Genomic DNA, 14,789 nt, shown 5'->3' on the forward strand with positions numbered 1-14,789 from the left:
TTAGAAGGAAAACTAACAAACAGAAAGGACATCCACACCAAAAACCCATCTGTACGTCACCATCATGAAAGACCAAAGGTAGATAAAACCACAAAGATGGGAAAAAAACAGAGCAGAAAAACTGGAAACTTTAAAAATCAGAGCACCTCTCCTCCTCCAAAGGAATGCAGCTCCTCACCAGCAAGGGAACAAAGCTGGATGGAGAATGACTTTGATGAGTTGAGAGAAGAAGGCTTCAGACGATCAAACTACTCCGAGCTAAAGGAGGAAATTCGAACCAACGGCAAAGAAGTTAAAAGCTTTGAAAAAAATTAGACGAATGGATAACTAGAATAACCAATGCAGTGAAGTCCTTAAAGGACCTGATGGAGCTGAAAACCAACACACGAGAGCTACGTGACGAATGCAGAAGCCTCAGTAGCCGATGCGATCAACTGGAAGAAAGGGTATCAGAGATGGAAGACGAACTGAATGAAATGAAGCGAGAAGAGAAGTTTACATAAAAAAGAATGAAAAGAAACGAACAAAGCCTCCAAGAAATATGGGACCATGTGAAAAGACCAAGTCTACGTCTGATTGGCGTACCTGAAAGTGACAGGGAGAATGGAACCAAGTTGGAAAACACTCTGCAGGATACTGTCCAGGAGAACTTCCCCAATCTAGCAAGGCAGGCCACCATTCAAATTCAGGAAATACAGAGAACACCACAAAGATACTCCTTGAGAAGACCAACTCCAAGACACATAATTGTCACATTCACCAAAGTTGAAATGAAGGAAAAAATGTTAAGGGCAGCCAGAGAGAAAGGTCGGGTTACCCACAAAGGGAAGCCCATCAGACTAACAGCGGATCTCTCGGCAGAAACTCTACAAGCCAGAAGACAGCGGGGGCCAATATTCGACATTCTTAAAGAAAAGAATTTTTAACCCAGAATTTCATATCCAGCCAAACTAAGCTTCATAAGTGAAGGAGAAATAAAATCCTTTACAGACAAGCAAATGCTGAGAGATTTTGTCACCACCAGGCCTGCCCTAAAAGAACTCCTGAAGGCAGCACTAAACATGGAAAGGAACAACCAGTACCAGCCACTGCAAAAAACATGCCAAACTGTAAAGACCATCAAGGCTAGGAAGAAACTGCATCAACTAACGAGCAACATAACCAGCTAACATCATAATGACAGGATCTAATTCACACATAAAAATATTAACCTGAAATGTAAATAGGCTAAATGCTCCAATTAAGAGACACAGACTGGCAAATTGGATAAAGAGTCAAGACCCATCAGTGTGCTGTATTCAGGAAACCCATCTCACGTTCAGAGACACACATAGGCTCAAAATAATGGGATGGAGGAAGATCTACCAAGCAAATGGAAAACAAAAAAAGGCAGGGGTTGCAATCCTAGTCTCTGATAAAACAGACTTTAAACCAACAAAGATCAAAAGAGACAAAGAAGGCCATTACATAATGGTAAAGGGATCAATTCAACAAGAAGAGCTAACTATCCTAAATATATATGCACCCGATACAGGAGCACCCAGATTCATAAAGCAAGTCCTGAGTGACCTACAAAGAGACTTAGACTCCCACACAATAATAATGGGAGAGCTCCCTCTCCCTCTCCCTCTCCGTCTCTCCACGGTCTTCCTCTCCCTCTCTCTCCACGGTCTCCCTCTGATGCCGAGCCGAAGCTAGACTGTACTGCTGCCATCTCGGCTCACTGCAACCTCCCTGCCTGATTCTCCTGCCTCAGCCTGCCGAGTGCCTGGGATTGCAGGCGTGCGCCGCCACGCCTGACTGGTATTCGTATTTTTTTGGTGGAGATGGGGTTTCGCTGTGTTGGCCAGGCTGGTCTCCAGCTCCTAACCGCGAGTGATCTGCCAGCCTCGGCCTCCCGAGGTGCCGGGATTGCAGACGGAGTCTCGTTCACTCAGTGCTCAATGTTGCCCAGGCTGGAGTGCAGTGGCGTGATCTCGGCTCGCTACACCCTCCACCTCCCAGCCGCCTGCCTTGGCCTCCCAAAGTGCTGAGATTGCAGCCTCTGCCCGGCCGCCACCCCGTCTGAGAAGTGAGAAGCGTCTCTGCCTGGCCGCCCATCGTCTGGGATGTGAGGAGCCCCTCTGTCCGGCTGCCCAGTCTGGGAAGTGAAGAGCGCCTCTTCCCGGCCGCCATCCCGTCTAGGAAGTGAGGAGCGTCTCTGCCCGGCCGCCCATCGTCTGAGATGTGGGGAGCGCCTCTGCCCCACTGCCCCGTCTGGGATGTGAGGTGCGCCTCTGCCTGGCCGCGACCCCATATGGGAGGTGAGGAGCCTCTCTGCCCGGCCGCCCCATCTGAGAAGTGAGGAGCCCCTCCGCCCGGCAGCCACCCTGTCTAGGAAGTGAGGAGCCCCTCCGCCCGGCAGCCGCCCCGTCTGGGAAGTGAGGAGCCCCTCTGCCTGGCAGCCGCCCCGTCCGGGAAGTGAGGAGCCCCTCTGCCCGGCAGCCGCCTGGTCCAGGAGGGAGGTAGGGGGCAGCCCCCGCCCGGCCAGCCGCCCCGTCCGGGAGGGAGGTGGGGGGCAGCCCCCGCCTGGCCAGCCGCCCCGTCCGGGAGGGAGGTGGGGGGCAGCCCCCGCCCGGCCAGCCGCCCCGTCCGGGAGGGAGGTGGCGGGCAGCCCCCGCCCGGCCAGCCGCCCCGGCCGGGAGGGAGGTGGGGGGCAGTCCCCGCCCGGCCAGCCGCCCCGGCTGGGAGGTGGGGGGCGTCTCCGCCCAGCCGCTGCCCCGTCCGGGAGGTGGGGGGCGCCTCTGCCTGGCCGCCCCTTCTGGGAAGTGAGGAGCCCCTCTGCCCGGCCGCCACCCCGTCTGGGAGGTGTACCCAACAGCTCATTGAGAACGGGCCAAGATGACGATGGCGGTTTTGTCGAATAGAAAAGGGGGAAATGTGGGGAAAAGATAGAGAAATCAGATTGTTGCTGTGTCTGTGTAGAAAGAAGTAGACATAGGAGACTCCATTTTGTTCTGTACTAAGAAAAATTCTTCTGCCTTGGGATGCTGTTAATCTATAACCTTACCCCCAACCCCGTGCTCTCTGAAACATGTGCTGTGTCCACTCAGGGTTAAATGGATTAAGGGCGGTGCAAGATGTGCTTTGTTAAACAGATGCTTGAAGGCAGCATGCTCCTTAAGAGTCATCACCACTCCGTAATCTCAAGTACCCAGGGACACAAACACTGCAGAAGGCTGCAGGGTCCTCTGCCTAGGAAAACCAGAGACCCTTGTTCACTTGTTTATCTGCTGACCTTCCCTCCACTATTGTCCTATGACCCTGCCAAATCCCCCTCCATGAGAAACACCCAAGAATGATCAATAAATACTAAAAAAGAAAAAAAAATAATAATGGGAGACTTTAGCACCCCACTGTCAACATTAGACAGATCAACGAGACAGAAAGTTAACAAGGATACCCAGGAATTGAACTCAGCTCTTCAACAAGCAGACCTAACAGACATCTACAGAACTCTCCACCCCAAATCAACAGAATATACATTCTTTTCAGCACCACAACACACCTACTCCAAAACTGACCACACAGTTGGAAGTAAAGCACTCTTCAGCAAATGTAAAAGAAAAGAAATTATAACAAACTGTCTCTCAGACCACAGTGCAATCAAACTAGAACTCGGGATTAAGAAACTCACTCAAAACCGCTCAACTACATGGAAACTGAACAACCTGCTCCTGAATGACTACTGGGTAAATAAAGAAAGGAAGGCAGAAATAAAGGTGTTCTTTGAAACCAATGAGAACAAAGACTCAACATACCAGAATCTCTGGGACACATTCAAAGCAGTGTGTAGAGGGAAATTTCTAGCACTAAATGTCCACAAGAGAAAGCAGGAAAGATCTAAAATTGACACCCTAACATCACAATTAAAAGAACTAGAAAAGCAAGAGCAAACACATTCAAAAGCTAACAGAAGGCAAGAAATAGCTAAGATCAGAGCAGAACTGAAGGAAATAGAGACACAAAAAATCCTTTAAAAAATTAATGAATCCAGGAGCTGGTTTGTTGAAAAGATCAGCAAAATTGATAGACCACTAACAAGACTAATTAAGAAGAAAAGACAGAAGAATCAAATAGATGCAATAAAAAATGATAAAGGGGATATCACCACTGATCCCACAGAAATACAAACTACCATCAGAGAATACTATAAACACCTCTACGCAAATAAACTAGAAAATCTAGAAGAAATGGATAAATTCCTTGACACCTACATCCTCCCAAGACTAAACCAGGAAGAAGTCGAATCTCTGAATAGACCAATAACAGGCTCTGAAATTGAGGCAATAATCAATAGCTTACCAACCAAAAAAAGCCCAGGACTAGATGGATTCACAGCCGAATTCTACCAGAGGTACAAGGAGGAGCTGGTACCATTCCTTCTGAAACTATTCCAATCAATAGAAAAAGAGGGAATCCTCCCTAACTCATTTTATGAGGCCAGCATCATCCTGATACCAAAGCCTGGCAGAGACACAACAAAAAAAGAGAATTTTAGACCAATATCCTTGATGAACATCGATGCAAAAATCCTCAGTAACATACTGGCAAACCAAATCCAGCAGCACATCAAAAAGCTTATCCACCATGATTAAGTGGGCTTCATCCCTGGGATGCAAGGCTGGTTCAACATACGCAAATCAATAAATGTAATCCAACATATAAACAGAACCAAAGACAAAAACCACATGATTATCTCAATAGATGCAGAAAAGGCCTTTGACAAAATTCAACAACGCTTCATGCTAAAAACTCTCAATAAATTAGGTATTGATGGGACGCATCTCAAAATAATAAGAGCTATCTATGACAAACTCACAGCCAATATCATACCGAATGGGCAAAAACTGGAAGCATTCCCTTTGAAAACTGGCACAAGACAGGGATGCCCTCTCTCACCACTCCTAGTCAACATAGTGCTGGAAGCTCTGGCCAGGGCAATCAGGCAGGAGAAGGAAATAAAGGGTATTCAGTTAGGAAAAGAGGAAGTCAAATTGTCCCTGTTTGCAGACGACATGATTGTATATCTAGAAAACCCCATCGTCTCGGCCCAAAATCTCCTCAAGCTGATAAGCAACTTCAGCAAAGTCTCAGGATACAAAATCAATGTACAAAAATCACAAGCATTCTTATACACCAATAACAGACAAACACAGAGCCAAATCATGAGTGAAATCCCATTCACAATTGCTTCAAAGAGAATAAAATACCTAGGAATCCAACTTACAAGGGATGTGAAGGACTTCTTCAAGGAGAACTACAAACCACTGCTCAACGAAATAAAAGAGGATACAAACAAATGGAACAACATTCCATGCTCATGGGTAGGAAGAATCAATATCGTGAAAATGGCCATACTGCCCAAGGTAATTTATAGATTCAGTGCCATCCCCATCAAGCTACCAATGACTTTCTTCACAGAACTGGAAAAAAACTACTTTAAAGTTCGTATGGAACCAAAAAAGAGCCTGCATCGCCAAGTCAATCCTAAGCCAAAGAACAAAGCTGGAGGCATCACACTACCTGACTTCAAACTATACTACAAGGTTACAGTAACCAAAACAGCATGGTACTGGTACCAAAACAGAGATATAGACCAAAGGAGCAGAACAGAGCCCTCAGAAATAATGCCGCATATCTACAACTATCTGATCTTTGACAAACCTGACAAAAACAAGCAATGGGGAAAGGACTCCCTATTTAACAAATGGTGCTGGGAAAACTGGCTAGCCATATGTAGAAAGCTGAAACTGGATCCCTTCCTTACACCTTATACAAACATTAATTCAAGATGGATTAAAGATTTAAATGTTAGACCTAAAACCATAAAAACCCTAGAAGAAAACCTAGGCAATACCATTCAGGACATAGGCATGGGCAGGGACTTCATGTCTAAAACAACCAAAAGCAATGGCAACAAAAGGCAAAATTGACAAATGGATCTAATTAAACCTAAGAGCTTCTGCACAGCAAAAGAAACTACCATCAGTGAACAGGCAGCCTACAGAATGGGAGAAAATTTTTGCAACCTACTCATCTGACAAAGAGCTAATATCCAGAATCTACAATGAACTCAAACAAATTTACAAGAAAAAAACAAACAACCCCCATCAACAAGTGGGCGAAGGATATGAACAGACACTTCTCAAAAGAAGATATTTATGCAGCCAAAAAACACATGAAAAAATGCTCACCATCACTGGCCATCAGAGAAATGCAAATCAAAACCACAATGAGATACCATCTCACACCAGTTAGAATGGCGATCATTAAAAAGTCAGGAAACAACAGGTGCTGGAGAGGATGTGGAGTAATAGGAACATTTTTACACTGTTGGTGGGACTGTAAACTAGTTCAACCATTGTGGAAGTCAGTGTGGCGATTCCTCAGGGATCTAGAACTAGAAATACCATTTGACCCAGCCATCCCATTACTGGGTATATACCCAAAGGATTATAAACCATGCTGCTATAAAGACACACGTATGTTTATAGCGGCACTGTTCACAATAGCAAAGACTTGGAACCAACCTAAATATCCAACAATGATAGACTGGATGAAGAAAATGTGGCATATATACACCATGGAATACTATGCAGCCATAAAAAATGATGAGTTCATGTCCTTTGTAGGGACATGGATGAAACTGGAAACCATCATTCTCAGCAAAGTATTGCAAGGACAAAAAACCAAACAACGCATGTTCTCACTCATAGGTGGGAACTGAACAATGAGAACACATGGACACAGGAAGGGGAACATCACACACCTGGGACTGTTGTGGGGTGGGGGGAGGGGGGAGGGACAGTATTAGGAGATATACCTAATGCTAAATGATGAGTTAATGGGTGCAGCACACCAACATGGCACATGTATACATATGTAACGAAACTGCATGTTGTGCACATGTACCCTAAAACTTAAAGTATAATAAGAATTAAAAAAAAAAAACCTCATGTGAGAGAAGCAAATAGGATGAACTGACAGGATAATAGCGAAGAAAGTATTAGCAGGCATGAGATAATAAGAGATTGGACTAGGATGGTAGCACTGAGGGATTTCCAAGGAAGAGATGAAAACACAGAGAGGTAGGGCCAGGATAAACTGGACTTGTAAAACAAGAAGTTTTTTAAAAAGCGTATATAATTCTGAGTCTATGGTATTGTCAGAATAAGTTACAAGTACAGATATGAGAAAGTTGGGAGAATTAAGTTCAGTTTTACCTATGTTGAATTTCAGGTACACTGAACGCCATCTTATGGCAAGGTCCTGTAGATAGCTATAAAGAATAGGCAAGAGGTTTTAAAGATGTAAATTGAGAAGTCCTCAGGATAGAATGAAATGAAATGAGGCACAAATGAACTGGCAGGAGTAAATATGGAGGATGAACAGAGGATGACGGAGTACAGTTTGTGAGAAAATTCCACCTCTGCCTTCCCATAATTAAGGATGGTCTCTAATAAAATTAATAGTCTAATTATCAAAAACTATCAATGAATGTTCTGATAAGGGATATACATAATCTCAAAAATTAGGAACAGTAAAATCTACTATCTCTCTAGTGATAATATAAACTTCATGAGAGCAGGGGTCATTATGTTCTCAAATGTATCCCCTGTGCTTAGTTCAGTACCTTATACATAGTAGTCAACAGATTTCTTATTAGTTGAATAAATAAAAAGCAGCGAAAAGTATGCTTGTGGATGAAAAGAGTATCGATATTGAATACCTAGGATGGTGTGCATATATTAAGCAAAAAGCCAGCATCAGAGGTATAAAATCCTTGAAAACAAATATTATTTGGAATTGAGGAAAAATGTCTCATGAATTGAAATTTAAGTTGGAATTAGAGGAAGTATGTATGATTATTGGAATAAGCTTAATTCTATTTTTCGTCACATACATGTATATATTAGTAAAATGATCCAAAACATTTATTTAGCTAACTTTGTAATCTCTGTGAAGTCCCAGCTTTTAGGTAAAGAGCTAATTTTTAAATTCAAATCAAAGAATGCAGTGCTGACTTCTAATAATCAAAATCCCAGATTTAATTAGTACATTTACTTAGAGGTTTCCCTTTTTTTTTTTTTTTTTTTGAGACAGAGTCTCACTCTGTCGCCCAGGCTGGAGTGCAGTGGCACAATCTCAGCTCACTGTAACCTCTGCCTACTGGGTTCAAGTGATTATCCTGCCTCAGCCTCCCAAGTGGCTGGGAGTACAGGCACGTGCCACCATGCCCAGCTAATTTTTTGTATTTTTAGTAGAGACCAGGTTTTACCGTGTTAGCCAGGATGGTCTCAATCTCCTGACCTCGTGATCCACTGCCTCAGCCTCCCAAAGTGCTGGGATAACAGGCGTGAGCCACTGTGCCTGGCCTACTTAGAGATTTTCTTAATGACCTCAAAATTCAGAAATGATTTTACAATCTTTTTTTTTTTTTTTAAGAGGAAGTCTCACTCTGTCATCCAGGCTGAAGTGCAGTGGTGTGATCTCAGCTCCCTGCCACCTCAGGCTCCTGGGTTCATGCAATTCTTGTGCCTCAGTGATATGGTTTGGCTGTGTCCTCACACAAATCTCACCTTGAATTGTAATAATCCCCACCTGTCAAGGGCAGGGTGAGGTGGAGATAACTGAATCACAGGGGGAGTTTCCCCCATACTGTTCTCATGGTAGTGAGTAAGTCTTACAAGATCTGATGGTTTTATAAATGGGAGTTCCTCAGCACAAGCTCTCTTGCCTGCTGCCATGTAAGATGTGTCTTTGCTTCTCTTTTGCCTTCCACCATGATTATGAGACCTCCCCAGCCAAGTGGAACTGTAAGTCAATTAAACCTCTTTCCTTTATAAATTATCCATTCTCGATTATGTCTTTATTAGCAGCATGAAAATGGACCAATATACTCAGTCTCCCGAGTAGCTGGGATTACAGCTGTGCGCCACCACACCTGGCTAATTTTTTTTTTTTGTATTTTTAGTACAGGTTGGGTTTCACAACGTTGCCCAGGCTGGTCTCGAATCCTGGCCTCAAGTGATCCACCCACCTCAGGCTCCCAAAATGTTGGGATTACAGGCATGAGCCACTGTGCCTGGCCCAATCTTACTGTCATTGGACAGTACTTCATCTGTGCAGTCTTGAGTTATGTAAGGAGACATGAATATTAAGATTTTTAGAAGTACATAGAGAATAATGGCAAGCTAAAAAGTTTCGGGCAGAGACACACCAGTAAAGAGACTATACTGCAATTAAAAACTATTATTCAACTTTGCATTTTTGATCCTATTAATCATTTTGAAACATATGTTGATTTTCAACTCAGTTTGTTTAGTTTACTAATACATCCACAATAGTCTACCCCACCACCACCCCATTAGAATAGGTATTAAAGATACTATCATTTAAGAGGAAAAATGGCTGTTTTTTTAAAAAAATAGATTTTTGGCTGTGCACAGTGACTCACGCCTGCAATCCCAACACTTTGGGAGGCCAAGGTGGGAGGATCAATTGAACGTGAGCTCAATACCAGCCTTGGCAACATAAGAGACCCTGTCTCTGCAAAAAAATTTTAAAAATTAGGCATGGTGGTGCCTACCTGTAGCCCAAGCTACCCAGGAGGCTGGAGCAGGAGGACTGCTTGTGCACAGGAGGTGCCACTGCTTGGCTGCAGTGAGCCTAGATCATGCCAATGCACTCCAGCCTGGGTGACAGAGTATGAGACTCTGTCTCAAAAAATTTATATGTGTACACACAGATTTTTAAATTTCCCTACGGTGGAGAGATTGTCTGGGTTTGGTAGTTACGTAGCTATAACCGTAAAAGCCTTCCTAGATAATACACTGTATTTTGGGGGCTTCTGTTTGTCCTTTCAAGTAGCACTAGTGACAAGATGATAAACTGCAAATTTGTTTGTCTCGTGTGCCATTGCATAGATTCTGATCTTCCATCAAGCAAGCTGGAGGGGAAAAAAAGTCACTTTTAAGTAGTTAATAAATGGTACACTAAAATTCCTAACTATGTCTGCATAAACTACATAAAAATTAGAACTTTTTTTTTTTTTTTTGAGACTGGGTCTTGTTCTGTTGCCCAGGCTGGAGCACAGTGGTGTGATCTCGGCTCACTGCAACCTCCGCCTCCAGGGTTCAACCTATTCTCCTGCCTTAGCCTCCCGAGTAGCTGGGACTATAGGTGTGTGCCACCATGCCCGGCTAATGTTTGTATTTTTAATAGAGACAGGGTTTCACCATGTTGGCCAGGCTGGTCTCGAAATCTTGACCTCGGCCTCCCAAAGTGCTGGGATTACAGACATGAGCCACTGTGCCCTGCCTAGGACATTAATTTTTAAACTGGGCTCTAAAACTAACTGGTGGCACTTAGAAGTATAAAGTATTAATTCAATTATTTTTTTATTGTGAAATGCTCCAAGGCAATTGTTTTAATGCAGAAAATAATTATTAAAAAAACACTCTGGTAATCTGATAGTAAGATAATCAAGCATGTACATAAAATATACAACAATATGAAAAGGTAAATATATTCTTGGTAATATGCCCCCAGGAAGAAGTACATTAAATGAGTCTATATTAAATTTTACCTATTTGAATTAAGAAACTTTTGAAAAAAGAACCATTTCAGCTTCAGATTTCCTTAACCACCTCTAGATTAAATTGTAATTGCTAAGTAGAATATCCATAGTTGAACCAAATTTAGTTATGAAAGATCTATAATGCAACAGCCATGATCCAATTAAAGGTAGACTGGTATAATGATTAAAAGTACTGGGGTCAAATAAACCTCCTCATGTTAACGCATCAGTAAATGGGAAATAATAATAATGTTATCTCACATAGTTGATGTAAGGCTTAATTGAGGTAGTTTGCGTACAATGTCTGTGAACTGAAGGAGTTCAAGCACAATGCCTGTCATGTAATAAATAATAAACAAACATTAACCGCTATTACTATCATCCTCTTTTAATTCTGAAGGTAGATACCTGCTACTTTATTGGAACTCCCTTAGAAAACAATTTTGGGCTCTGCCAAAAATCATTTAATATGGCAAAAAAAAACCAAAGGTTTAAAGTTTCCTCAATATGGTTGACCAGGTATCTGGACCATCCCTGTGGCTAAATGCATCTGTGGATAAGGTGTTACTATGTTTAAAGAAATAAAAGACCAGCATGAAAATATCCACATATGCAGAGGTATTAGAAAAATATAAATATTTACCAAAAGGATTTGATAAAGTACCAAGTAGAGCCTCTACCATTAAAACTTTTTAAAATTGAAATATAATATTCAGCAGATAGGTATAAAAGCAAATTAAATATATATGTTACAAAGAGTATTAGCGAGATGGAAGACAGAAAATTTAAAAGCCAGCCAAAATGAGGTTAGGATTAAACACTATATCCCAAGTATCAAAGTGTTTTACATTAACAGATTTAATCTTCCCAACAACCTACTATTATCTCCATTTTACAACACAAAATAATGAAACTGGTGTTGTCTCGTTTGTATTTCAAAAATAAACATTTCCATATCAAAGATGAAAGACAAATGGATAATGACTTTTTTTTTTTTTTTTTAAACTCCGTTTTCAGTTCTGGCTTAGATAGGAGAGGTGATAACTAAGAATCCTGCTTGAAGGTGTCAAGGACAAATAGATAGGAAGCTTCTATGATAAAGAGATAAACATTTTTCACATAATACAGTTACTAGAAATAAATATGTATTACTCCTAGGTCCCTTCCCCTTTTCTAGCTGTTTAGCTCTTATTCCTCAATGTTCAGCTCAAGTGTAATTTCTTTTCCCTTAGGTGTCACTTTGCATCTATGCATTATTTTACTTTTACATTCATAGTGTGTTATAAGCATTGTCACTTCCAAACTGTGTGCCTCTAGGAAAGAACCAGCAAAGTAGTCATAAAAATGTCACACAGTTAGGATTCAGCAATTTTTGTGACTCCAAAATATCATTTACTTTCTCCCAATTTTCTTCTTTTAAAATTGATATATAATAATTGGACATATTTATGGGGCACATGTGATATTTTGATGCATGCATACATATATTAAATCAGGGTAATTAGGATATCCATCACTTGAAAAATTTATCATTTCTTTGGGTTGGGAATATTCCAAATCTTATCTTCTAGCTGTTTTGAAATATACAACAAATTACTGTTAACTATGGTCACTCTACCATGCCATCAAACACTAGAACTTATTCTTTCTAACTGTATTTTTGCAACCGCTAACCAGCCTCTCTTCATCATCCCTCCCTCCTACCTTTGTCAGCCTCTAGTAACTATCATTCTACTTTCTACCTCTGTGAGATCAAGTTTTTCAGCTGTCACATATGAGTGAGAACTTACAATAGTTATCTTCTTGTGCATGGCTTATTAAAATTAACATAACGTCCTCTAGTTCCATCTATGTTGCTGCTACTAACAGAATTTCATTCTTTTTTCATGGTTGAATGATATTCCATTGAGTGTGTGTCCATATATATATGGACAAACACACCATTTTCTTTATCCATTCATATCCTAATGGACACTTAGGTTGATTTTGTTATCTTGGCTATTGTGAATAGTGGTGCAACAAAAATGGGCATGCAGGTATCACTTTGATACCCTGGTTTCCTTTCTTTTGGATACATACCCAGCAAATGGATTGCTAAATCGGATGGTAGATCTATTTGTAGTTTCTTGAAGAATGTCCATACTGTTTTCCATAGCAGTTATACTCACTTTCTCACCAACAGTGAACTATTAGTGTTTCCCTTTCTCTACATCCTTGCCAACACTTGTTGTTTTGTCTTTTTGATAACAGTCACTTTAACTGGGGTCAGATTATATCTCATTTTGGTTTTGATTTGCATTTCCCTGATGATTAGTGATACTAAGCATTTATTTTCATATACTTGTTGGCCATTTCTATGCCTTCTTTCGAAAAATGTCTATTAAGATCATTTGCTCATTTTAAAATCAGATTATTTGCTATTGAGTTGAGTTTCTTATATATTCTAGTTATTAATCCCTTGTCAGATGAATAGTTTGCAAATATTTTCCTCCATTCCATAGGCTGTCTCTTTGTTGCTTCCTTTGTTGTGCAGAACATTTTTAGCTTGTTGCAATCCTTTTTGTCTATTTTTGCTTTTGTATTCTGTGCTTTTGAGGTCTTACCCCTAAAAAAATCTTTGCCCAGACCAATGTCCTGAAGTATTTCCCCAATATAACCCCACTTTCAATATGGATAGAACATCTAGAAAGAAGATAAATAGGGAACCAGAGGATTTGAATAACATTATAAACCAAATAGATCTAACAGACATCTACAGAACAATCCATCCAATAACAGCAGAATACACATTCTTCTCCAGTGCACATGGAACATTCTCCAGGATAAAACATGTATCAAGCCACAAAACAAGTGTCAATAAATTTTAAATTGCTCAAATCACACAAAGTATCTTCTGTAATCACAAGAAATGAAGATAGAAATCAGCAACAGAAGAAAAACGAGAAAACTCAAAGCATGTGGATATTAAAACACTCTTAACCAATGAGTACAAGAAAAATCAAAAGGGAAATTTGAAAACACTCAGAAACAAATTAAAATAATAATAAAGCATACCAAAATGTATGAATACAGTGAAAGCAGTGTTTGAAGGTAATCTTATAATAGTAAATGCCAGCCAGGCACAGTGGCTCAAGCCTGTAATCCCAGTACTTTGGGAGGCTGAGGCAGGTGGATCACCTGATGTCAGGAGTTCAAGACCAATCTGGCCAACATGACAAAACCCTGTTTCTACTAAAAATACAAAAAAAATTAGCCAGGCATGGTGGCACGCACCTGTAATCCCAGCTACTCAGGAGGCTGAGGCAAGAGAATCATTTGAACCCAGAAGTCAGAGGTTGCAGTGAGCCGAGATCGTGCCACTGCACTCCAGGCTGGGTGACAGAGTGGGACTCCGCCTCAAAAAAAAAAAAAAAAAAAAAAAAAAAGTAAATGCCTACACTGATAAGAAGTATTTCAAATTAATAATTTAGACTTTATTCCTGAAGGAAGTAGAAAAAGGAGATCAGAGACCAAAGCTAGCAAAAGGAAGGAAATAATAAAAATGAAATAGAGAACAGATAAATAATAGAATCAATGAAACAAAATGTCATTTTTTTAAAAAGACAAAACTGACAAGCCAATACTGACAGGGGGAAAAAAAGAGGGGAGATGCAAATAACTCAGTCCTTTTCAAAATCTTAAAAAATCTGAAGAGAAGGGAACATTTGCTAACACATTTTATGATGCCAGTATTACACTGATTTCCAAGTCTGACAAAGACAGCATGAGAAAAGAAACTATAGACCAATATTGTTTATAGATATTGATACAAAAATCATCAAAAAAATATTAGCAACCCAAATCGAAAAGTGTATGAAAACAATTATACACTAAGATGAAGTGAGGTTTATCCCAGGAATGCAAGGTTGGTTCAACATGAGAAAATCATTCAATGTAATACATCACATTAATAGATAAAAGGGAAAAAAAAACCACACATGATCATCTCAATTGATGCAGAAAAACATTTGACAAAATTCAACACCCTTTCCTAATTAAAACACCCAATAAAGTAGGAATAGAAGGAAACTACCTCAACATAATAGAGGTCATTTGTGGAGAAACCATAGCTAACATCATACTCAATGGTAAAAGACTAAAAACTTTCCCGTTGAGATCAGGAACAAGA

The 14,789-nt window shown here is 40.8% G+C and overlaps 1 protein-coding gene across 2 annotated transcripts in view, besides 1 other annotated feature; it reads right to left on the minus strand.

Annotated features, from left to right (window-relative positions):
• Positions 1–14,789, minus strand: part of DNAJC1 (DnaJ heat shock protein family (Hsp40) member C1) — a 247,183-nt gene that overhangs the window by 78,726 nt on the left and 153,668 nt on the right. The window lies entirely within an intron of this gene.
• Positions 14,434–14,634: a silencer, noted in NCBI's record as "peak901 fragment used in MPRA reporter construct". NCBI's record gives its function as "represses an SCP1 promoter by STARR-seq MPRAs in K562 erythroleukemia cells {active_cell/tissue: K562}" and the evidence as "EXISTENCE:reporter gene assay evidence [ECO:0000049][PMID:32103011]".

Source organism: Homo sapiens, chromosome 10 (assembly GCF_000001405.40).
Source record: "Homo sapiens chromosome 10, GRCh38.p14 Primary Assembly".
Classification (NCBI taxonomy): domain Eukaryota; kingdom Metazoa; phylum Chordata; class Mammalia; order Primates; family Hominidae; genus Homo; species Homo sapiens.